At 43.7% G+C, this 24,945-nt stretch overlaps 1 protein-coding gene across 5 annotated transcripts in view, besides 4 other annotated features; it reads right to left on the minus strand.

The window, feature by feature from the left end:
- Positions 1-24,945, minus strand: part of CLMN (calmin) — a 137,969-nt gene that overhangs the window by 80,653 nt on the left and 32,371 nt on the right. The window lies entirely within an intron of this gene.
- Positions 2,585-3,784: an enhancer, noted in NCBI's record as "P300/CBP strongly-dependent group 1 enhancer chr14:95731514-95732713 (GRCh37/hg19 assembly coordinates)". NCBI's record gives its function as "activates an origin of replication core promoter dependent on BRD2, BRD4, P300/CBP, MED14 and CDK7 cofactors, with strong dependence on P300/CBP, by STARR-seq in HCT116 cells {active_cell/tissue: HCT116}" and the evidence as "EXISTENCE:reporter gene assay evidence [ECO:0000049][PMID:35650434]".
- Positions 2,805-2,864: a silencer, noted in NCBI's record as "silent region_6043". NCBI's record gives its function as "represses an Ori minimal core promoter by ATAC-STARR-seq in GM12878 lymphoblastoid cells {active_cell/tissue: GM12878}" and the evidence as "EXISTENCE:reporter gene assay evidence [ECO:0000049][PMID:35858748]".
- Positions 3,015-3,064: an enhancer, noted in NCBI's record as "active region_8952". NCBI's record gives its function as "activates an Ori minimal core promoter by ATAC-STARR-seq in GM12878 lymphoblastoid cells {active_cell/tissue: GM12878}" and the evidence as "EXISTENCE:reporter gene assay evidence [ECO:0000049][PMID:35858748]".
- Positions 3,305-3,354: an enhancer, noted in NCBI's record as "active region_8953". NCBI's record gives its function as "activates an Ori minimal core promoter by ATAC-STARR-seq in GM12878 lymphoblastoid cells {active_cell/tissue: GM12878}" and the evidence as "EXISTENCE:reporter gene assay evidence [ECO:0000049][PMID:35858748]".

The following is a 24,945-nucleotide window of genomic DNA, read 5'->3' on the forward strand; positions in this document are numbered from 1 at the left end:
TCTTACTCTATTGTCCAGGCTGGAGTATAGTGGTGTGATCATGGCTCACTGCAGCCTCATCCTCTCCAGGCTCAAGTGATCCTTCCACCTCAGCCTTCCGAGTAGCTGGGACTACAGGTATGTGCCACCATGCCCGGCTAATTTTTGTATTTTTTCTAGAAACAGGGTCTCCCTATGTTGCCCAGTCTGGTCTCAAACTCCTGGATTCAAGCAATCCTCCTGCCTTGACCTCCAAAGTACTGGGGTTTCAGGCATGAGCTACTGTGCCCAGCCTCCCCATTTTCTGGATGAGAAAGTTGGCCTCAGAGAGTCAAGTCATGTGTCCAAGGCCACGCAGCTTGTTCTTCTGGGAGGTAGGAGCAAAACTAGGCCATGGTCTCAGAGCACAGCTCTTAACCACCCTGCAGTGACAGTGGCTCCCAGGCTCAGCCTGTGCCACCCAAACCAACTGCCCAGCGCATATGTGGCTCCCTGTATTAGTCTGTTCTCATGCTGCTAATAAAGACATACCCGAGACTGGCTAATTTATAAAGGAAATAAGTTTAATTGACTCACAGTTCAGTATGGCGGAGGAGGCCTCAGGAAACTTACAATCATGGTGGAAGGTGAAGGAGAAGCAAATACGTCCTCTTCACGTGGCAGCAGCAAGGAGAAGTGCCAAACAAAGGGGAAAAGACCCCTTATAAAACCATCAGATCTCATGATAACTCTCTCACTATCAGGAGAACAGCATGGGGGTAACTGCTCCCATGATTCAATTACCTCCCGCCAGGTTGGTCCCATGGCACGTGGGGATTATGGGAACTACAATTCAAGATGAGATCTGGGTGGGGACACAGCCAAACCCTATTACCCACTGGGGTCTGGCACCTACAAGCCTGAAAGATCCAGACACTGATGAGGGAATGAAGTAGCCACATCCACCTAGCAAAAGGGTTCCGGTGTGACCCAGGAAAAGGAGCGGGAGGCATCTGCCCACTTCACCTCAATGCAGGAGTTTGGCAATGGAGCCCTAAACGTTACTTGGAATATGAATTCACAGGTAGCATAACTGGATGTTCCAGCTGGAAGGGCATGAGACAGGCTTTGCAGAGCCTAGAGCAGCCAAAGAGATGAGGTGGGGGTGGCTGGGAGAAGAAAGGAAACCTCGGATACATTTTGTAAGTTGTGCCTCAATTTTCTGGAAAATGGGGATAATGGCAGTGCCCACCTTGGGGGGTTGTTGTGAGGATTAAATGAGTTAGTGCCTGTGAAGAACTCACACAAGTGACTGGCACAGCAAATGCCCAGTGAGTGTCGGTTATGGTCATTGTCACTAGTATCATCATGACCTCAGACCCTCTGAGTCCGGATTCATGACCACCATTCCCAACTTGGTATTCAACACACCTACCTTATTACTTTGCACCTTATTACTTTATTTATTTATTTATTTATTTATTTATTTATTTATTTATTTATTTGAGACAGGGTCTCACTCTGTCACCCAGGCTGGACTGCAGTGGCACCATCTCAGCTCACACTGCAGCCCTGACCTCCTGGGTTCCAGCGATCCTCCCACCTTAGCCTCCTGAGTAGCTGGAACTACAGGCATGCATCAATATGCCTGGCTAATTTTTGTAATTTTTGTACAGCTAGGATTTCACTATGTTGCCCAGGCTGGAACTCCTGGGCTCAAGCAATCTGCCTGCCTTGGCCTCCCAAAGTGCTGAGATTATAGGCATGAGCCACTGTGCCGGACCCCTGCATCTTATTTTAATAAATCCTCAGCCAGCCTTGTGACCTCGGAGTGCCAGAACTGGATTCGAGGCCCCACTTAGCAGCTGTACAACCCTGGGTTAGTCCCGTAAAACATTCAGTCTTTAAGCTCAGGGAGAATCACAAATCCACCATGCTCAGTACAGAGGGCTCAATAAATGGCTAGTGTGTTTACAAGACCACAGAGGCGCGCAGAAGCTAAGGTTACACTACTAGAAAATGAAGGAGGAAAGACTCACATCCAGGCCTCCCAGGGTCCATGCCCTTCACAGGAAAGCCCCCACTTCTATGAGCATGTTTAGAATAAACACAGTGTGATGGTTACTTTTATGTGTCAACGTGACCAGGCAATGGCACCCAGAGATGTGGTCAAACATTATTCTAGATGTTTCTGTGAAGTCGTTTTTTAGGTAAGATTAACATCTAAATCACACTTTGAAGGCTGGGCGCAGTGGCTCACACCTATAATCCCAGCTCTTTGGGAGGGCAAGGCAGGAGGATCACTTGAATCCAGGAGTTTGAGACCAGCCTGGGCAACATGGATCTACCAAAACACCGTCAGATCTCATGATAACTCTCCATCTCTACCAAAAAAAAAAAAAAAAATTAGCCAGGTGTGGTTGCAGTGGCTCATGTCTATAATCCTAGCACTTTGAGAGGCCAAGGCAGGAGGACTGTTTGAGCCCATGAGTTTGAGACCACCACATGCCAAAACCCTGTCTCTACAAAAAAAATACAAAAATTAGCCAGGCATGGTGGTGCATGCCTGTAGTCCCAGCTGCTCTGGGAGGGTGAGGCTGAGAGGGTCTCAGCCTGGGAGGCAGAGGTTGCAGTGAGCCGAGACTGTGCCACAGCACTGCAGCCTGGGTGAAAGAGTGAGACTCTGAATCAAAAAAAAAAAAATCCCCAGCTGACTTTGAGAAAAGCAGACGGCCCTCCATCAAATGTGGGTGGGCTCCATCTAATCAGTTAAAGCCTTAACACAAAGCGTGACCTCCTCTGAGCAAGAAGGAATTCTGCCAGCAGGTGCCTTCAGACTTAAACTGCAACTTTTCCTTGCGTCTCCAGCCTGCTGACCTACCTTACTGACTTTGATCTCGCCAAACTCCACAATTGCATAAACCAATTCCCTAAAATAAGTGTCTTTCTCTGTATGTAGACTCATCCTCTTGGCTGTTTCTCTGGAGACCCCTGACTAATATGCATAGGTATGACTCCTGGCACAGTGCGTGCTACAAAGAGGAGAAGGCACTACCTGTGAATCAGACCATCTGTGAGTATTTGCAATTGCCCAACCATATCAATTTCTCACTTTCACTTCCTGGTGAGTCATATTCCGAGCAGCTGGCTAGGATCAGAAGAAACAAGGCATTCTTTTCATGCTCAGACAGAGCCCTGTTGAACGTTTACCTTCCTGAAGAAGGCAGAAAGAGGAAGGGCCTCCTAGTGACATTCTCCAGCCTTGAGGAAGAAGAAAATTCTGATTTAATGAGCTTGAGTTTGAATGTAATCAGATTTTCTCTATAGCAACAGCTCCACAACACAATCCTCTTGGCAGCTGCAACAACCAGCCATCTCCTGATGAAACCAGACATCTCACACACGGGCCACTGGAGAAGCCACCGTCGAGGCACAAGATGCCAGAGGATGGGACCACCCCACCTGGTCATCAGCTTTAGATTTGAGTGGGAGTAAGCAGGTAGTGCCACAGTCCTTTGATTTGGGAATTTACAAATGCGTATCTAAAAGTATGCTTCCCCTGAATTGAAAGTCTTTCCTCTAAGATCTGGAACGAGACAAGGATGTCCACTGTCATTACTTTTATTCAGCATAGTACTGGAAGTCCTAGCTAGAGCAATTAGGCAAAAGAAAGAAACGAAGGGCATCCAAATGGAAAACGAAGTCAAGTTATCCTTGTCTTTAAATATAAAACAACATAATCTTGCATTTAGAAAAACCTAAAGACTCCACCAAAAAATGTTAGAACTGATAAATTCAGTAAAGTTGTAGAATACAAAACCAACATACAAAAATCAGTAGCATTTATATGACGAAAGCAAACAATCTGAAAAAGAAATCAAGAAAGCAATCCCATTTACAATAGCTATAAAAATATAAAATACCTAGGTATAGATTTTGCCAAGTGAAAGATGGCTACAAGGAAAACTATAAAACACTGATGAAAGAAACTGAAGAAGACAAAACAATGGAAAGATATTCCATGTTCATGGATTGGAAGAATTAATATATTAAAATGTCAAGATCACCCAAAGTGATTTACAGACTCAGTGCAATCCCTATCAAAATACCAATGACTTTCTTCATGGAAATATAAAAAAATTCTAAAATTTCTAAAAATTCACAAAAGACCCTGAATAGCCAACGCACTCTTAAGCAAAAAGAACACAGTTGGAGGCATCACACTATCTGACTTCAAAATACAGTACAAAGCCAAGTAACCAAAACAGCATGGTAACTGGCATAAAAAAAGACACAAAGACCAATGAAACAGAATAGAGAACCCAGAAATAAATCATGAATTTACAGCCAACTTATTTTTGACAAAGGGGCCAAAATGGGGAAAGGGCAGTCTCTTTAATAAGTGGTGCTGGGAAAATTGCATAACCATATGCCAAAGAATAAAGCTAGACTCCTATTTCTGAGCATACAAAAATCAAATCAAAATGAACTAAAGACTTTAAGACCTAAAACTATGAACCCACTAAAAGAAAACATTGAGGAAATGCTCCAGGACATTGGTTTGGGCAAAGATTTTTTGAAAAAGACCTTAAAAGAACAGGGAACAAAAGAAAAAATAGACAATTGGGATCACATCAAGCTAAAAAGCTTCTTCACAGCAAAGGAAACAATCAACAAAGTGAAGAGACAACATACAGAATGGGAGAAAATATTTGCAAACCATCCATCTGATAAGGGATTAATAACAAGAATATGCAAAGAACTCAAACACCCCAACAGAAAAAGAAACCCCCAAGTAATCCAATTATAAAATGGGCAAAGGACACAAGTAGACATTTCTTAAGAGAATACATACAAACGGCCAACAGGCATATGAATAAAGTGCTCAACATCACTAATCATCAGGGAAACGCAAATTGAAACCACAGTGAGATATCATCTCACCCCAGTTAAAATGGCTCTTAACCAAAAGACAGGAAATAACGGATGCTGGTGAGAATGTGGAGAAAGGGGAGCCCTCATACACTGTTGCTAGAATGTAAATTAACACAGCCACTATGAAGATTCGTCAAAAAACTAAAAATAGAAGTACCTTATGATCCAGCAATCCCACAACTGGGTAAATATCCAAAACAAAGGAAGTCAATACATCAAAGAAATATCTACACTCTCATATTTATTTCAGCACTATTCACAATAGCCAAAATATGGAATCAACCTACGTGCCCATCCACAGATAAATGAATAAAGAAAATGTGCTATATATACACACAATGGAATATTATTCGGCCATAAAAAAGAAATCCTGTCGGTTGCAGCAATATGGATGAAACTGGAGATCATTATGTTAAGTTAAACAACCAGGCATAAAAAGACAAATATCACATGTTCTCACTCATGTGTGGGAGCTAAGAAAGGATCTCATGAAAATAGAAAATGAATTTATGGTTATCAGAGGCCAGGAAGGAGAGAGGGGAGAGGGGATGAAGAGAAGTTGATTAATGGGTATAAAAATTCCGTTGGATAAAAGGAATAAGACCTAGTGTTCAATAGTTCAGTACAGTGACTATGGTTGATAATAATCTCTTATATATTTCAAAATAGCTAGAAGAGAAAAATTTGAAGCACAAAGAGAAGATAAATGTTTGAGGTGATGGATACCCCAATTGCCCCGGTTTGATCATTATACATTATATGAATATATCAAAATATTGCACATACCCTGAAAATATGTGTATCGTTTATGTAACAATTTTGTAAAAATAATAAATGAACTATCTGTATGTGCAATACCTTGGATGTATCTGAAGGGAATTATGCTATGTAAAAAAAAAAAAAAAAGCCAATCTCAAATGATTACACCACCATGATTCTTACTGATACAACATTCTTGAAATGACAGAATTCTAGAGTTGGAAACTGGATTTGAAGTTGCTGGGGGTAGTGACTGAGAAGGAAGGGTGGGGGCATGACTATAAAAGGGAACCACAACTAATCCTTTTGATGGAACTTTCTTCATCTTGACTGCCATGGTGGTCACACAAATCTACATAGGTGCTAAGATTTCCTAGAACTAAACACACAAGCACATAGATGAGTCCATAAGCAGCTGGTGACATCTGAACCAGCTGGAGGGATTGTGTCCAGTTCTTCCTCCTGGCTGTGATACTGCACTGTAGCTATGAAAGAGGTTACCACTGCAGAAACTAGTGAGGGTATACTGGGACCTCTCTCTCTCTCTCTCTTTTTTTTTTTTTTTTTTTTTTTTTTTTAGACAGAGTCTCACTCTGTCGCCCAGGCTGGAGTGCAGTGGCACAATCTTGGCTCACTGCAACCTCCACCTCCCAGGTTCAAGTGATTTTCCTGCCTCAGCCTCCCGAGTAGCTGGGACTACAGGCACGTGCCACCATACCGAGCTAATTTTTGTATTTTTAGCAGAGACAGGGTTTCACCATATTAGCCAGGCTGGTCTTGAACTCCTGATCTCGTGATCCGCCGCCTCAGCCTCCCAAAGTGCTGGGATTACAGGCGTGAGCCACCGCACTTGGCTATGTCTTACAACCATATGTAAATCAACAATAATCTCAAAATGAAAGGTTAAAAATAATAAAAACTCTTCATCCACCAAGACGTTAATCAAATATATGCCTGTGCTTATATTTAGTTTTAATTATTGTCAGACATAACATCCTTTTTGTATTCTTAATGTTTTATGAGCATTACAATAAAAAATCTTATGATTTCTACTGTGTTATATATGAATGTATTAAACAATTACATGTAAAATATCTTTATGTATTTTCACATTTCTATCTTTACCTCATTTATTTTTATATGATATTCAATATGAGTATAATATCATTGTTCTTCAAATGGGAAAATAATATGCTTCACCTCTGAGTGGTACATCTACGGAAAGGTGGTCAGATGGCCAGACCCAAGTCACAGCTAAAAGGGCTTTCCCCAGCTCATGAGCTGTGACAAGGTCATTGTGCTTTATGTTCATATTTGGCCTTTTGAGTCTCAATGGACTCCTGCTTGACAGTAATTGACACCTTGGTTGCGGCCCATAGGCTCTGCCAACCTGAACCCCACCAGGCTCCTTCCTGGATGCCCAAGCCCCAGCATCAGCCTGGCTGACCCCAGCTGCCTGGCACCAAAGGCTCCCACTGGCCCCCACAGCATGGAGATACTGCTGGGAGGTAACCATATCTCCAGGGTCCTGACTCTAGGTGGGTCACATGATGAATTCTGGACACTGGAATGGGAGGTAAGGGGTGTGTGTCCTCTCCGGCCTGGCCCCTGCACCTCACATGAGCTCCTCCCCCACCCCAATCCACAGGCTGGAGGTTGGTGCCTGTCCCTGCATGCCCCTGCAGTGGACTTCATGAGAGAGAAAATTAACTTCTACTATGTTAAACCACCGCGATTCGGAGACTCAGCTAGCGTTCCCTTAACAACACACTTCCATTTTAGGAATAAGAAAACAGAACCTAAGAAGGTAAAATGGCTTGGCCAGGGTCAGACAGCCAGGGAGGGGAAGAGCCAGGGCCAGGACTCGGGCACTTAGCAGGGAATCTCCTCCCACGATGTGCCATGTCTGCCTGCCAAGCTATGGTCCAGTTCATGCTGTCTTTGTTGACCATCTCCCCATCCATCACCTCATTCAATTTTTAAAGGAAATTCTATTAAAAATAACTTATTTCCCAAGCCAAGTGCCTCACTCATTTTTTTTTAAGATATAATTCACATGCAATATAATACACCTATTTAAAGCCCATAGCTCAGTGGTATCTAGTCTATGCACAGAGTTGTATAACCATACCACAATCTAATTTTAGAACACACTCACCAAAAATACATTCGATTACCCATTAGCTGTCATTCTCCATTCTCCACCTTCCCCTCAGCAGCTTCAGGCAAACACTAATAGACCTTCTAGCTCCATTGATCTGGAACATTTCATATAAATGGAATCATATAATATGTGGCCTTTTGGACTGGCTTCTTTTAGCATAATGTTTTCAAGGTTCATCCATATTATAGGACGTTTTCAAGGTTTATCCATGGAACAGCATGCATCAGTACTTCCTTTCTTTTTATTGCAGATTAATATTCCAAGTATGACTATACCACATTTTCTTTCTTCATTCACCAGTTGATAGATGTTGGGTTGCATCCACATTCTGCCTACCATGAATAATTCTGCCATGCTGCTATAAACATTTGCATTCATTTTTTTTACATGGAGGTCTGTTTTCATTTCTCCTGGGTATACACCTAGGAGTAGAATTTCTGGATTCTATGGTAATGGTATGTGTGACATTTTGAGAAACGGACAGACTGTTTTCTAAAAGCAACTGTTTTATATTTCCTCTAGCAGTGCATTGGGGTTCTAATTTTTCCACATCCTTGAGAACACTTGTAATGGTCTCTTTTATTTTAGCCATTGTTTGTGGATGTGAAGTGGCATATCATTATTAAGTGGTACTTCATTTCCACGATGACTAATGATGTTCAACATTTTTCATGTGCTTATTGGTAATTCGTGTATCTTCTATGAAGAAATATCTACTCAAATCCTTTGCCCATTTTTAAACTGGGTTGTTTATCTATTACGGAGATGCAAGAGTTCTTTATTCATTGTGGATACAGTCCCTTATCAGATATACAATTTGCAAATATTTTCTCTCAGTCTGTGGGTTATCATTTTACTTTCGTGATGGTATCCTTTAAAGCACAAGAGTTTTTAATTTTGATGAAACCTGATTCAACTATTCCTGATAAGCCAAATTATTCTGAACGATTCAGTCCCAGAACAGCAGCCGTGTTCTCCCGACCTGTCTAGAGAGGCCACATTCCTGAGAGCCACGAAGACAGCACCAAAGGCCCTGGGGTCCCCTCTCCTTTTACCTCATTTCAGAAGGGTTTTCTACCAGGGAACAAAGTTGGTCTGAAGATACAAATGATGATCACAGAATGAAATACTATGCAGTCACTAAAATTATCATGCAGATCTACCAACTGGCAGCAGGTTTAAATAAAGTAAAAGGACAAGAGAACAGAGTAGTATGTAGGGTATAAGGCCTGTCTTTTTCATTTCCCTGAGTTGAGGCACGATTCAGTGCTGTAAAATGTGTGAAAGTTAAGTGTCTTGCTCAATGAATTTTAGCCTGTATATCTATCTGCATAACTACCACTCAGATCAAGAATACAGAACATTTGCATCACCCCAGAATGTTCTCTTTGCCTCTTTCCAGTCTGTCTCCACTCCGTGCCTACCAAAGGTATGCACTATCTTGACTTCTATCATCATAGATTAAATGTACCTGTTCCTGAACTTCATCTACATGGAATCACACAGTTTGTGCCTGTCGGTTTTGTTCCATTAACAATTTTGAGACTCATCTGTGTTACTGTATTAACAGGCTGGTCCTTTTACTGCTATGAATTATTCCACAGTGTGACTATTATGCAATTAATCTATCCCTTCTCTGTTGATGGGCATGCATCTTGTCCCAGAGAAAATATAAACATTTGAATGGAGAAAAGTGTGAAAAGAAAAATGCCAAAGTGTACAAGACGTTTCGTTTGTGGGTAGGGCGAGGCCCTCAGCCTACTGGTGGCAAAACCGAGGAAGGACAAGTAGAAGGCTGGAGCAGGCTCTGGAGAAAGGCAGACACTGAGCCGGAGGAGGAGCCTGCCAGGAGGGTGTGGGCTGAGGAGCTGGAAGGGGAGAGGGGAGGAGGGCACTCCAGGAAGAGGAGGAGGAGGGTATTAGAGGGATCCTGGCTGCTGTAACACATAAGCCCCAAACCTCACTGGGACCCAGGAACAGAATGGGGTGGGAGAGAAGTTCCAGAACACCCAGAGATGAAGTCAGCCATTCATCCACATGCTCAACAGGCTTCTCCTGCACACCTACTATGCACAAGGCCCTATGCCAGGGGCCCGGAATCTCAAGCATTCAGGCAGTGAACTCACTGGACAATTGTGACATCTGGAGTAACATTCAAAGTTTGAAGTTTGGATATAGATTCACATTTAGTACGACAATACACCAGCCATATGTTGTGAGTGCTTCATTCTTCCTTAATTTAACCAACAGTTGAGTCCAGCTGTGTGCCAAGCTCTTGACTAGATGCTAAGAAGCAAGGTGGCCCTGGCTCCTGCCTGCACGGAGTTCATGGTGTAGTGGGACAGAAGAAAGACCAAACTCAAGCTGATTAATAAAATAATTGTAAGTTGTTTCTATGCGCTCCCAAGGGAAAACGTTGGGGCCAAGATATTGAAAACCTCCCTTGTTCATTTATTATTTTTGAATAGACAAACACTTGCATGGTTCAAAATTCCAAAAATGTAATAAAAGGGAATGCAGTGATGTCTCCCTTCCATCCCTCTCTGCAGCCAGCCGCTTTCCCTTCCCCAAAGCAAACAATGCAGTAGTGGTTGTGTGAGTCCTTAATGAAATATTTTACACTTCTATGAAGAAAATGCATATGCATGCCTACACCCTCCCCTACACACTATTTAGCATGCTCTAAAGGGCTGATCCACGGACAGTGAGGATGAGTCAGCCCTGCAAATTATGATGGAAAGCAGCCCTGCAAATTGTGATGGAAAGGACATTCCAGAAAGAGACACCAGCAGGTGAGAAGCCCCAGAGGATGTTCAGAAGGCTTAGAGGCGACAGTGTGGAGAGTTGGGCTGTCTGGCCCAGGACCGCTCTGGGGAGATTCCTGCTCCACAGAGGCCAGGCCTGGGGTGAGTCAATGGATCCACTACCCGCCCCACTCCAGAGGCCACACGTCAAGAAGGGCTCCTCCCTATTCACTCCTACCCTGGAGGATTCCTCACAGGGAGAAGAAGGAGAAGGAGTTTATGAGGCTATAGTTCACTTATGATGCTGCACAGCCAACTTCCGTCATCTGATAGGGCCTAACACTCCAATCTGTGGCTGGTTCACCCCTAAATAAACACTACTCCCAGTGCAGTAAGCCATGCTCAGGAAAGGCCCTGAAAGGCTCATCAGTGCTTGTGATGGTGCCGTAATAACCACAGACTTATTCTGCACCCGGCCCCTGCAGCAATGTCCAGGGAATTTAATAACCTTGGGTATCTTACCCCCGCCATTAGGGGAGGTGAAGAAAGAAGGTGGGTGAACGTGAGTGTGTTTTTGACATATAGCTCTGCAAAGCCTGCCCTCTGCCCTTCCGTGCCTGAGTGTCTCCACTTTGTTGACACACTTTAGGTCAACAATAAAAGCCACACACTCTTAAGGCCTCCCTGCTTCCCAAAGCCAATCCTATAGATAAACCGATCGTACATGAACCTCATGAACCTCATTCAGACCTACGACACGCTCCTCCCAGCCAGTCCAGCCTGCACTTGGAAACTCACAACGCTGGGTCACGCTCAACTCAGCTGTCTGATTCTGAACCTGGCATCCCCTTCGGTTATTAAACAAAGAACGGGTCCTTTACCGATGTAGTTCTCAGTGTCATTACCCGGGTTCTGGCTTATCAATAGGTTTCCCATGTTTTATTGTGATTTCTATATTTCTCAGCTATTACCATTTTACTTTCCCTAATTTGCCATCCAGACCTTCCCCTGTTACTTTCTTTGCTCCCGCTTGGTTTCTCCTGAACGTGTTTAGCCGTGAGCTCTCTGCGCACCCAGATTCCCCCGTCTCCTCTGGTTTTGGTTTCCATCGTTCTGCTTGGAAATGCCTGTCTTTTCTCTTTCCCCATCAGACCACATATGGTCTAACCACACCTTATGAACTTCCCAGGGCTACGTGGCACCTAGCACACGAAGTCAGGAGGTATTCTTATTACCACCCCTGCCCATGCACAGCAGCCACAGGCTGTGTCGTGTGTCAGCTGTCATCATGTTAATTGTGGTCAAGTAGCAAACAGCCCTGGAGAGCTGTGGTCCCTCTGCCCAGCACAGCTGCAGGTATCACTCCCCATCAGGTTCCTGGCACCTGGCCCTGGTCGCTGGATAGAAGGGAAGCGTCCCCAAAGCTCACACCCAGCACGCTGCCTCGTAAGAACATCTCTAAACCCTGTGTGGCTCCTTGAAGGGAAGACCCTGACTGCCTTCTCATTCTTGTGTGTGTCTTGCAGTATTATTATATGATAGTCACAGCCGGGCGCGGTGGCTCACGCCTGTAATCCCAGCACTTTGGGAGGCCAAAGCGGGCGGATCACCAGGTCAAGAGATCAAGACCATCTTGGCCAACAAGGTGAAACCCTGTCTCTACTAAAAATACAAAAATTAGCTGGGCTTGGTGGCAGGCGCCTGTAGTCCTAGCTACTCAGGAGACTGAAGCAGGAGAATCGCTTGAACCCAGGGGGGCAGAGGTTGCAGTGAGATGAGATAGCACCACTGCACTCCAGCCTGACGACAGGGCAACACTCTGTCTCAAAAAAAAAAAAAAAAAAAGTCACTCATTCCTTCAACAAATATTTACTGACCCTTACTGTAGGCCAGATAGTGGTCTAGCCCTGGAGGTACATATACCCAAGAAAGGCATCTCACAGATGACGCAGATTAAAAATCCCAGACTCAGGGCACTTGCGGTCTCGTATGAAGACAGATGTCAGAGGCATTCAAACCAGAGTAACTCCATCTTGAATAGGGGCTGGGTAAAATTAGGCTGAGACCTACAGGGCTGCATTGCCCTGAGGTTAGGCATTCTTAGCCACCGGATAAGACAGGAGGCCGGTGCAAGACACCTGTCACAAAGACCCCACTGATAAAACAGGATGCTGTAAGGAGGTTGGCCAAAACCTCCCCAAACTAAAATGACAATGAAAGTGACCTTTGGCCATCCTGACTGCTCATTAGATGCTAATTATAATGCATTAGTATGCTACAAGACACTCCCACCAGCACCATGACAGTTTACAAATGCCATGACAACGTCTGGAAGTTACCCCATATGGTCTAAAAAGGGGAGGAAAACTCAGTTCCAGAAACTGCCCACCCTTTCCTGAAAACTCATAAATAATCCACGCCTTCTTTAGCATATAATCAAGAAATAACCATAAAAATCGCCAACCCACAGTCCTCTGGACCACACTGCCTATTGGAGTAGCCATTTGTTTATTCCTTTACTTTCTTTCTGAAACAGTTTCACTTTCATCACCTAGACTGCAGTGCAATGGCGTGACGTCGGCTCACTGGAACCTCTGCCTCCCATGCTCAAGTGATTCTCCTGCCTCAGCCTCCTGAGTAGCTGGGATTACAGGCGCATGCCACCATGCCTGGCTAATTTTTGTATTTTTTGTAGAGATGGGGATTTGCCATGTTGCCTAGGTTGGTCTCGAGCACCTGAGCTCAAGTGATCCGCCCACCTCAGCCTCCCAAAGTGCTGGGATTACAGGCATGAGCCACCATGCCTGGCCTTTTTCCTTTACTTTCTTAATAAACTTGCTTCGCTTTACTCAGTGAACTCACCCTGAAGTCTTTCTTGCGTGAGATCCAAGAACTCTCTCTTGGGGTCTGAACTGGGACCCCTTTCCAGTAACACCTTCCTGGCAAACCACGAAGGGGTGATATTGAGGAGACCCCTGACTCAAAGGAAATCAACTGCAGTCCCAATTAGCCAACTTTGGGTAAGTGTTTGGGTATTTTACCCTGGGGAAAGGGCGGAATTGAGTTAGAGGTATTTTATCCTGAGGAAAGGATGGAATTGGGCTGGGACTCCTAAGACCATAGGGGATGAGAGGTCCTCTTGGTGAAGTCCCTCAGTAAGGAAAAGTGGATTTCGTGCCACAGGATGTTAGCCGCTATTCTCTTTGGATTAATCTGCCTTTGCGCTCTTTGCTGTCATCTGTGGGTGATAGGATTAGGTATGCATAGGATCATGGGATATGAGGAGCTTTTTTCTCCCCAAAGGGGGAACTTGGGAGCTGATGGGATTGCTGGAAAAGATCCTTTAGGGACTGACGAGTGGCTGGCTGAACTGTTGATATGATGGGTGGGTCTTTCTCTGGCCTCCCTGAGTTCCTTGCCTTCCTCACCCCACCGCAGGCAATACTTTTCTCTTTCTTTCTTTCCTTTCCCTTTCCCATCTTTTTCTGTCACTCAGGGCAACTGTCCACTTCTCCATCTTTCCCAGAGACCACATGTTGAAACTCCTGGTTGGAGGTCACTGCACCCCACTTTGAATGGATTAAAGACAACAGGGGACAATGGAGGTGAATTTGAGCCTTGCCAGGTGGATACTGGACACTGAGCTGGGTGGATAATGTCTGTGTTTTGTCACGCATATTTTTCTCTGGCCAAAATGGAAAATGTTAATTCAGTTCCTCCACGCAACCCCTGGTGTGGCATCTTGCAAAATTGAGAGGTTTTTGCCTATGGTTCCATAAAAGTGAAAAAGATGATTTTTTTTTTTGGGTAACATGGCTTGGCCCCCCCATAGCTATGGCACAGCAAGCAGGGTCATCAAAGCCATTCAGAGAAGGGGAACCCAGAAACCTGGCACACTGGCAAAAGGACAAGAGTTTCTTACAAGTCAGGCTTCAGCCTCTCTCTGTGCAAACTGGTTGAATGAATGGTAAAAATCATTGTCTCTTCGCAAAGTTTTGATTAATGGGAAAAAGGACTGGTGAGGCTAGTCTTAGGCTGTAGCGAATTTGGTGAACTTTGTGCTACAAACTTGTCTTTGTGTGTCACTCTGTCATAAAAGGTGTGTCATAGATATAATGCAGGCCTAGGACCCCTGTAAGTCTGCTATTTGAGCTGACCCAGCACTGATCAACTATAAACTTTGCTGCTGCAGGTCCCTGAAACAAAAACTGGATGAGGTTTCCCTCTCATCTTGTTTTATGTCCTTGGGAGCTTGACTTTCTAACCACGTGGCAGTTCTGTCTCTTGGTCTCCGCCATTTGGAAGGTGGGAATTTTGTGAATTCATGTCATAGTTAGCTCTAAAAATTATCTTGAGCAGTTAAAAGGCTTTGCAAGCTCAAAGTTGATTGCTCTAGGCTCCTTCTGGGGAGGTCAATGGAGACTGCCCAATGCTGTAGCTTAGTAGCTAAGCCTTTGTCTTTTCTTTTCTTTTTCTTTCTTTCTCTTTTTTTGGAGATAGAGTCTCCCTCTGTCACCCAGGCCAGAGTGCAGTGGCACGATCTTGGCTCACTGCAACCTCTGCCTCCCAGGTTCAAGCAATTCTCCTGTCTCAGCCTCCAGAGTAGCTGGGACTACAGGTGCCCACCACCACACCTGGCTAATTTTTGATTTTTAGTAGAGATGGAGTTTCACCATATTGGTCAGGCTGGTCTCGAACTCCTAACTTCAGGTCATCCACCTGCCTTGGCCTCCCAAAGTGTTGGGATTACAGGCGTGAGCCACTGTGCCAGGCCAGGCTTTGTCTATTCATGATGGCAGCCTGGGTTCATTCTCAGCCTAGGGAATAAGAATTTTCTGGTTTGATATTTGCGTGACCTTTGCCATTTACTGATTCTTTCCCTCTCCGTGAACAACTTCTGACTTGCCATCTTGAAGTTCCTTTCTCTGAGCTACCTTTGGAGATTCTAAATCTCATTTTAAAAAAAAGTGCTTACACCTTTTTGAAAGTACCTCATACACCCATAGTTAAGTCATAACCTTAGTTAAGGAATATTGGTTTCACCTGGGAGGTTACCTTTGCAAAAGTTCAAAAGCCAGCAATATCGGGTGCTTGTCCTGGCTAGAGTTTGGGAATAAGAGATTTCATTAAAACTCAGCTTAATTAAAAACGGATATCCAAGCTATACATATATTTAAAAGACCTTTAAGTTTTTTCTCTTCTTGGATCTTATTTTTCTGAAAAAGTTTTTTCTTCTTGGTGAACTGAGTCGTTTTTCTCCATCTTATCTTCTTGCCACTCTTGATGCCCACATGAGAGGACATAAGATAATTTCTAACAGCCCGAGACTCCTGGCAAAAAAGGGAGAAGGTGCCACCGATCCCGTTTTGGGAAAACTCTGTTTTCCTCATGGAACCCCAGAAATTGAAAGTAGATCAATCCCTCTCAAATTCTAAGGCTTTGTTCTGTTTTACACTGTGTTACCTGACCTTTTTTAATTTTTTAGGGTATCAGAAATTAGTATGCATTATGAGAGATATAGCCTTGATATAGGTGGGAAATAAACTTTTAGGGATGGCTAATGGCAGTAATGGGAAGATACTCTCTTTGCATATTTGGATCAGAGAAGCATGTTCTTGGCTGCCTAGAAGTTATGGAAACATCCCCACCCCCACTAACAAACAGGACTCCTATGGGGGATGTGCTGATTCCCTTTTGAGATCCAGGATCCAGTATAAAAATGGGGATCTGTTCTGTTTTTGTCTTCCAGCTGTGCCCGCTTATTAGGCCCTAAAAACTGCATGCTTTCCTGGCCCTGTTCCTTGAAGGACTGCACCCTGAAGCCAGTAATCTAATTAAATTTTAATTAAACTTAAAAACTGGCAAATGAAAAATCTTACGACTACTGGATCTTCTTCTGTCTGCATGTATTTATATGTGTTCTGTGTGTGATGTTTATATAAAAGAGCTCTACTTAATTGGCTTAAAGAAAATTAAGTGCTTAAATCAAATATTTTGTCAGAAAAATAAAAACTTTAATACCTTTTAGTTCGTGTCACTTGAGTAATCTTTGGGAACTAAAGATAGTTTTAAAGGTTATTGGTAAAATAAAAATATCTTCAAAATGTAGATATTTGGTCTAAATTATGCAGGTCAGATATTAGGTTTGTTAAATGCTTTAAGCTCTAAACTGCTTCTATGACTTGATAATTGCTCAGCTTACCTACTTTGGAGACATTAGATTCTAGATAAGGCCTGGGACATATGGAGTTAGCCATGCCCCTGGCTATGCTGGAAAGAGTTAAACCTTATCTGCACTTCTGTCTGGTGTCCTAGGCTCCACACCTGGTACATAATTAAAATCACTTACTGGCCAGGGCGGTGGCTCACGCCTGTAATCCCAGCACTTTGGGAGGCCCAGGTGGGCGGATCATGAGGTCAGGAGATCGAGACCATCCTGGCTAACACGGTGAAACCCTGTCTCTACTAAAAATACAAAAAATTAGCCAGACGTGGTGGCGGGCACCTGTGGTCCCAGCTCCTCGGGAGGATGAGGCAGGAGAATGGCGTGAACCCAGGAGGCGGAGCTTGCAGTGAGCCAAGATCATGCCACTGCACTCCAGCCTGGGCGACAGAGCGAGACTCCGTCTCAAAAAACAAAACAAAACAAAACAAAAATCACTTACTTACTGGCTTTTTCACCAAAAATAAAAGTTGCTAAGAGTTAACACTGTAACATGTATATTGAGACGACTAAAGAAACAGTTTTACATGCAAGGTGTATAAGAAATGTAGAATGTATTTTTGGTAAAAGATTATAAGGCATCAGAATATGTTGTTGTTTTTTTTTTTTGCCTAGTATAAAGGGTTAAAGGATTATATTAAGTTAGATAGGCTAAAGCTGAAGATTTGAGCAAGTTGTGGAAGGTTTGTGAAAGATTAATCTTGTAAAAGAAATTGTGTGTGAACATATTGGCTGAAGTTAAAGAGGTATTATTTGGTTTTTCCATAAATTGAACATTGGAATAAAGCACAACAGGATTTTCTTAGACCATTGGTCTGTGCTTTAACAAAAAAATTCTAAAGGGTTATAAACAGTTTTGAAAATATTACCTTATGGTCAAACTGATTAAAGTTGGATAAATTTGTCTACAGGGTTTCATTAAGAATTGGGTTTGATATTAATAGGACACTAATGCAAAGGTAAAATTTGGCTAGATTCTCTCTTGAGCAAGATTTTCATGTAACATTAAAAGATAATAAAAGATTTTTATTTGCCTTTTAAATACAGGAAAAAGAAGGGAAATAAAAGAGACTGTTTAGAAAGCTAAGTCTTCCCTCTGCTAATGAATAGAGGTTTTTGCTTGTTTAAAATCTTTGAGTTATTTGGCTAAATAAATGACTTACGGTGACCTGGGATTTTCTCTTACAGTGTTTTAAAACTTTGATATTTGACAAACTTTCCAAAATCTAATTCTAAATTAAGTCTTTTTCTGACCTGATTAATCCTTTTAGATATTAGATTCCCTAAAGTCCAAAAGTATTTGGCTTATTTGGTATATTAAAATCATATAGGAAGCATTGTCAAGTATGAAATGGTGTTTGGCTTTTGTTGGGCTATATTTTTATAAATATGTTATTGGTATGTGTTCCAAAATTAGGGGAAACTCCTATAATTTTGATATGACTTAGTGGTATGTTATCAGTAATAATTACAATGGTTATCTAAAATTGTTACATGCCACGAAAGTAACCAAATTTCCTTGTAAATTTTGTCTTTGACTGTGGCTGCCCTAAGACTTTTTGTCATCCACAGACAATTGTTATCTTGTTTCAATCCTCTTTAAAAGGTCGTTTATAATCAGCTACGGAACTCTGACAAGCACTTTTAAATGCAGAGAGGAAAAATAAACTTCCAAGTCTCTTTTGGATAACTAATATATTCATAAATACCAGGCAAAACAGGAATTAACTGCATAGACAGAACTAATAAAAGTTCTGACAGGCCCAGGAGCCCCAAATTATCTTGAGACCTTGAGATGAGAAACATTTATCCAACTCATACAAGTATTTACGGACACAGTTAAATAAATCCATGGCTGGGTTCAAGGCTTTAAAAAGTCTAAGCTGTCACCGCTTATGGTTCCAGCAAAGCCAATTTTTAAAAAGAAGGCTATATGGCAAATAATTATTCTTGCTGCACATTATACAGATCATCAGGCCAAGTATAATAAAACTAAAAGTCATTTTGCAAACAAATCAGTCCTACTGTTACTTCTTTTTAATAAAAATGGGAACTAGAGAAAGAAAAATTATGTTTCAAAAACTATGGTACACCTGTTATTAGATTCTAGTCACATTCATTGTTTTTGAGTTTTTTCTGCAATTTAGACTGACCCTGCTTATTCCTGTGAGCCAACCAGTGATCACTGGCTACTGCTCAGGAGAAACAGGGATAGGTAATGTAAAAAATCTAGATTGATTTTCTAATTCTGGGCACATATTGGAATAGGCTAACAACTCCATATCAGCTTGGTTCCAACAATAGCCCAGTTCAAGGAAAGCCTTCTTGTTTAGTCACTTGGGGTAATATTACTTATTTTGCTTTACTGTTGTGGAATATATTGCTGTTGTACTCCTCGTGTAGAAATGCAAGATAAGCTTACTCAACGTTTTCTTAAACACTTATTAAATCTTCCAGATAGTGTCACCTATTGTCAGAAGTCACAGTTCTTTCTGTTTTCTGGTACCAAGAAGGGCTGTACCATGCAGGCAGATGAAGGCAGAAAGAGAGTAGAGGCTAGGGGCGGGCTCCACCACCCTTCAATTCACGAAAGAGCTGCCCTATTTTCCTCTACTGTGGGCCACACTTGTTGGATTTGGCTGTGTGTCTCTGGTTATGGATGGTAACTTTCCTCAGAGCATCAGCTTAACAAGTAAGTGAGAACATGTCAATTGGGTTCTGAAGGATGAGTAGGAATTCATCAGTCACAGTTGCTGGAGAAGAGAATGTCCAGGGAACACCATGTACAAAAAGAATGAGCAGTTTGATTTTGCAGGAGCAGAGGATGGGGCAGAAGGCAAATGCCAGATCTTGAACAATTCTTCTTGCACTAAGATTTGCACTTCTAGGGAACCATGGAGAGTGGCCAAACCAGACTTCATTTTTAAGAACATCTCTCTGGCAGCATATGGAAAGGATATTGGAAAGAGAAGCAAGTATAGGCCAAGAAGCCAGTTAGGAAGCTTTTGTAGTCTAGGCATGTGTGATGGAGGCTTGGACAGGAGTAGGAGCTGGGGGGCGACATAGGAAGGGTCAGATCAGAGCAATATCAGGAGAGAAAGGACCTGCCAATTTGTTCAGACAGACCATGAGGCAATGCAGGCTGAGCTGGTTCAGGCCCAAATGAGAACTGAGTGGCCAGAAAGGGGCAGCTGAATCCAGTATGCAGAGGCCAAACAAGCACTGATATGGCCCCTGGGGACCCCACCTATGCAGAGGGCAGGCAAAAACCACAAGGACAAAGAGTCAAGGACAGATCTCCAAGGCACTTGCCACCTCAGCCCAGGAAGCCTTTATATTACCCCTGGACAAGGAGCAGCCACTCAGAGAGAAGGTCAGAATCAGGGCCGGAAGGGGAAAGCAGTGGAGAGTTCTAAAGCCTCCCTGCTCCCACTGGCTTACAGCCTCAAGTCAGCAGGACCAGCACATTCTTTGCAGGAGCAGAACTGGAGCCTGTCAGATGCAGGAGCAGGAAAAATGACCACAATCAAGAAGCCCACACTCTTTTTATACACAGAAGGACACAGAGGACTGGGGAGGGGGAGGGACTCACCTAAGGTCACAGGGCAGTCGGGCTGGAGCAGATCTCAGGGCTTCAGCCCCAGCCCTGTGCTCCATGGCATGATGCTGTGGTGATATGGTTTGTGTCCCCATCCAAATCTCAACTTGAATTTTATCTCCCAGAATTCCCACATGTTGTGAGAGGGACCCAGTGGGAGGTAATTGAGTCACAGGGGCCTGTATTTCCCATGCTATTCTTGTAATAGTGAATAAGTCTCATGCGATCTGATGGGTTTATCAGGGGTTTTTGCTTTTGCTTCTTTCTCATTTTCTCTTGCTGCTGCCATGTAAGAAATGCCTTTCACCTTCCGCCACGATGCTGAGGCCTCCCCAGCCATGTGGAACTGTAAGTCCAATTAAACCTCTTTTTCTTCCCAGTCTCGGGTATGTCTTTATCAGCAGTGTGAAAAATGAACTAATACAGTAAATTGGTACCAGTAGAGTGCAGCATTGCTGAAAAGATACCCAAAAACGTGGAAGCGACTTTGGAACTGGGTAACAGGCAGAGGTTGGAACAGTTTGGAGGGCTCCAAAGAAGACAAGACAATGTAGGAAAGTTTGGAACTTCCTAGAGACTTGTTGAATGGTTTTGCCCAAAATGCTGATAGCAACATGGACAATAAGGTGAGGAACTTGTTGGGAACCACAGCAAAGGTGACTCTTGTTATGTTTTAGCAAAGATACTGGGGGCATTTTTCCCCTGCCCTAGAGATGTGTGGAACTTTGAACTTGAGAAAGATGATTTAGGTATCTGGTGGAAGAAATTTCTAAGCAGCAAAGCATTCAAGAGGTGACTTGGGCACTGTTAAAGGCATTCAGTTTTATAAGGGAAGCAGAGCATAAAAGTTTGGAAAATTTGCAGTCTGACTATGCGATAGAAAAGAAAAACCCATTTTGGGGGAAGAAATTCAAGCTGGCTGCTGAAATTTGCATAAGTAGCAAGGAACCTAATGTTAATCCCCAAGGCCATAGAGAAAGTGTCTCCAGGCCACGTCAGAGACCTTCATGGCAGCCCCTCCCATCACAGCCCCAGAGGCCCAGGTGGAAAAAATGGTTTTGTGGGCCAGACCCAGGGTGCCTGTGCTGTGTGCAGCCTAGGGACTTGGTGCCCTGTGTCCCAGCCGCTCCAGTTGTGGTGGAAAGGGGCCAATGTACAGCTCAGGCTGTGGCTTCAGAGGGTGAAAGCCCCAAGCCTTGGGAGCTTCCATGTGGTGTTGAGTCTGCAGGTGCACAGAAGTCAAGAATTGAGGTTTGGGAACCTCCGCCTAGATTTCAGATATATATATGGAAATGCCTGGATGCGCAGGCAAAAGTTTGCTGCAGGGGCAGGGCCCTCATGGAAAACCTCCACTAGGGCAGTGCAGAAGGGAAATGTGGGGTCAGAGCCCCCATACAGAGTCCCTACTGGGGCACTGCCTAGTGGAGCTATAAAAAGAGGGCCACCATCTTCCAGAACCCAGAATGGTAGATCCACTGACAGCTTACACCATGTGCCTGGAAAAAACACAGACACTCAACACCAGCATGTGAAAACAGCCAGGAGGGAGGCTGTACCCTGCAAAGCCACAGGTGGGGAGCTGCCCAAGACCATGGGAACCCACCTCTTGCATCAGCATGATCTGGAGTCAAAGATCATTTTGGAGCTTTAAATTTTGGTGCCCCCCACCCCCAAATTTCAGACTTGCACAGGCCCTGTAACCCCTTTTTTTGGCCAATTTCTCCCATTTTGAATGGCTGTATTTACCCAATACCTGTACCCCACTGTATCTAGGAAGCAACTAGCTTGCTTTTGATTTTGCAGACTCATAGGCAGAAGGGATTTGCCTTGTCTCAGATAAGACTTTGGACTGTGGATTTGTGGGTTAATGCTGAAATTAGTTAAGGCTTTGGGGGACTGTTGGGAAGGCATGACAGGTTTTGAAGTGTGAGAATATGAGATCTGGGAGGGGCCATGGGTGGAATGATATGGTTTGGCTGTGTCCCCACCCAAATCTCTACTTGAATTGTATCTCCGAGAATTTCCACGTGTTGTGGGAGGGACCCAGGGGGAGGTAATTGAATCATGGGGGCCAGTCTTTCTCATGCTATTCTCATGGTAATGATTAAGTCTCATGAGATTTGATGGGTTTATCAAAGGTTTACACTTTTGTTTCTTTCTCATTTTCTCTCGCCACCACCATATAAGAAGTGCCTTTCGCCTCTCACCATGATTCTGAGGCCTCCTTAGCCATGTGGAACTGTAAGTCCAATTAAACTTCTTTTTCTTCCCAGTCGTGGGTATGCCTTTATCAGCAGTGTGAAAAACGGACTAATACATGTGGCTTTCCAGGCTTGATTTTGAACAGGAAGAAAAATTAAACCTGAAACCACCCATCCCCAACTAGTACCTGGAAATATATCCATTAGAATCAATCTTTTAAGTCATCAAATTCTCTTCCAGGAAAGGAGAGTATGAAATTTAAATGTGTGTGGGAGAGAGAATCTGGGCCCAGCAAGGTAGGGCCTGCATGTGAACGCTGTCTGGGCCTCTGGAGAAGCAGTGCTGTCTTCTGTGCTGTTGACACACAAGCTAGGGAAACACTGGGTAAATTGTAGAACATGCCTTCCTCCCCTAGACACGTATGACAGGCCCCACAGAGTCCCATAAAGGAAAAGACTAATCATAACTGGAGGATCTGAGAAAATCTTTTAGAAGAGTGGACATTTGCACTGGGTATATTACAGGTGAGATCACTGGGATATGTGGCTAAGATATATGCTCCAGGATGAGGTGGACTTTTGAGCTGGGTATGTAACAGGCGAGATCACTGGGATATGTGGATAAGGTATAAGCTCCATGGTACGGCCACACCCTCCACTCATGTCCACAGCAGGCATTGTTAATCAACCACGGCACTCTTTCCCACCCATCCCAGACTTCACTTCAAAATCCTTCTGCACTCAGCACTCCAGGTAGCCACCAACAATTGATTCATATAGGACCACATGGTAAAGTGCATGCAAGATCATCTCTGACCTATGGGAAGTGGAGGAGGAGGAGGAAGGGGAGAAGAGTGGAGACGAAGCAAGCTTGGGCATCAAATGTCAGGCTGAAAAACTTCTTCCTCTGGCTATTTGATATTAAGGATATTATTAATTATTTCAGGTGTGATCATGGTAATGTGGTTATGCTTTTTAAAAAGTCCTTATCTTTTAAAGAAAAATACTAAAGTATTTATGAATGAAATGGAACAACATCTGAAATTTACTTCACTAGTAAGTCCTAGACAATGAGGTGGGAAGATGGAGAGGCAAGAGGTAATAGCCATACAATGGAATATTATTTAGCCATAAAGAGGAATAAAGCATTGATGCATGCTACAACATGGATGAACCTCAAAAACATTATGCTAAGAAGCCAGGCACAGGTTACATATTATCTGCTTCCATTTAAATGAAGTATCTAGAATAAGTAAATCCATAGAGACAGAAAGCAGTTTAGTGGTTTCCAGGAGATAGAGGGATGGTAAATGGGGAGTGACTCCTTAATGTGTTGGGTCTTCTTTGGGGGTGATGAAACTTTTGGAATAAGATAGTGGTAATGGTTGTACACTCTGAATGTACTAAATCTTACTGAATTACACATTTTAAAATGGTTAATTTTATGTTGTGTGATTTTCGGCTCAGTTACAAAATGTTTTCACCCAAAATAAAAATGTCATTTTACCCCCAAAAAATTATAAAATTAATGGGAGTTGAAGACATAAAGACCAAGAGTCTGCAGGGAGGGGACTGCCCTTCCATGAGGCAGAGAGAACAGTGAGTTCAAAGGCCCTGAAGAGAGAGCACGTGTCTCACGGTAGATCAGTCAGGGATCATCAGGGTCTCACTCAACACCTGTGTGTGCCAGCCTCTGCTCACCACGTGACCCCACAGAAAGTTTGCATGCAACTTTGCAGACAGGCAGACCCAGGCTGTGAAAGGTGGCATCTATGATTTGGGAGGGAGAACCAACAACTAACACAAAAAGGCCAGATGCCACACGTGAGCTGCCTCCCAGGTCTTGTCATCCCCGCAAGGCTACCACATTTTGCTTCTGTCACCTTCACTAGAATCCCAGCCTTGCCTGAAGGGCCCCTTGTGCCTTGCCTCCTATCTTCCCTCCTGTGAATTTGCACAGAGGAGGGGCAATTCTAATGGTCTGACTTTGCAAACCAGGGAAATCCTGTGATTTGAGCAACAAAGCTTACATCTATACAAATAAATAAAAACCTCCCCGCTTCTGCCAGCCCTCTCTGTGCACAAACCCTCTGTCTGATGGGAACTGTCCCCGTCACTTTCTAGCCCAGCTCCGTGGCCAGGCTCCATGGAGGCCACATGCAACATGCAAACTACAGAGCCAAGTATGCTGGGCCTGCCTCAACCTGCCCGCCCTTCTCAGCATGGCGCGATGTTCAGGCATCTCTGGGATGCTGGATGCTGTAGCAGGCAGCAGCTGGATCCCTGTTTGTCACTTACTTGGAGAGGGAGAGAGGAGGGTCTGAGAGCAGCACCCTTCCTGCAGTGCCATGGTTGTTAAACTT

Source organism: Homo sapiens, chromosome 14 (genome assembly GCF_000001405.40).
Source record: "Homo sapiens chromosome 14, GRCh38.p14 Primary Assembly".
In the NCBI taxonomy this organism is placed as follows: Eukaryota; Metazoa; Chordata; class Mammalia; order Primates; family Hominidae; genus Homo; species Homo sapiens.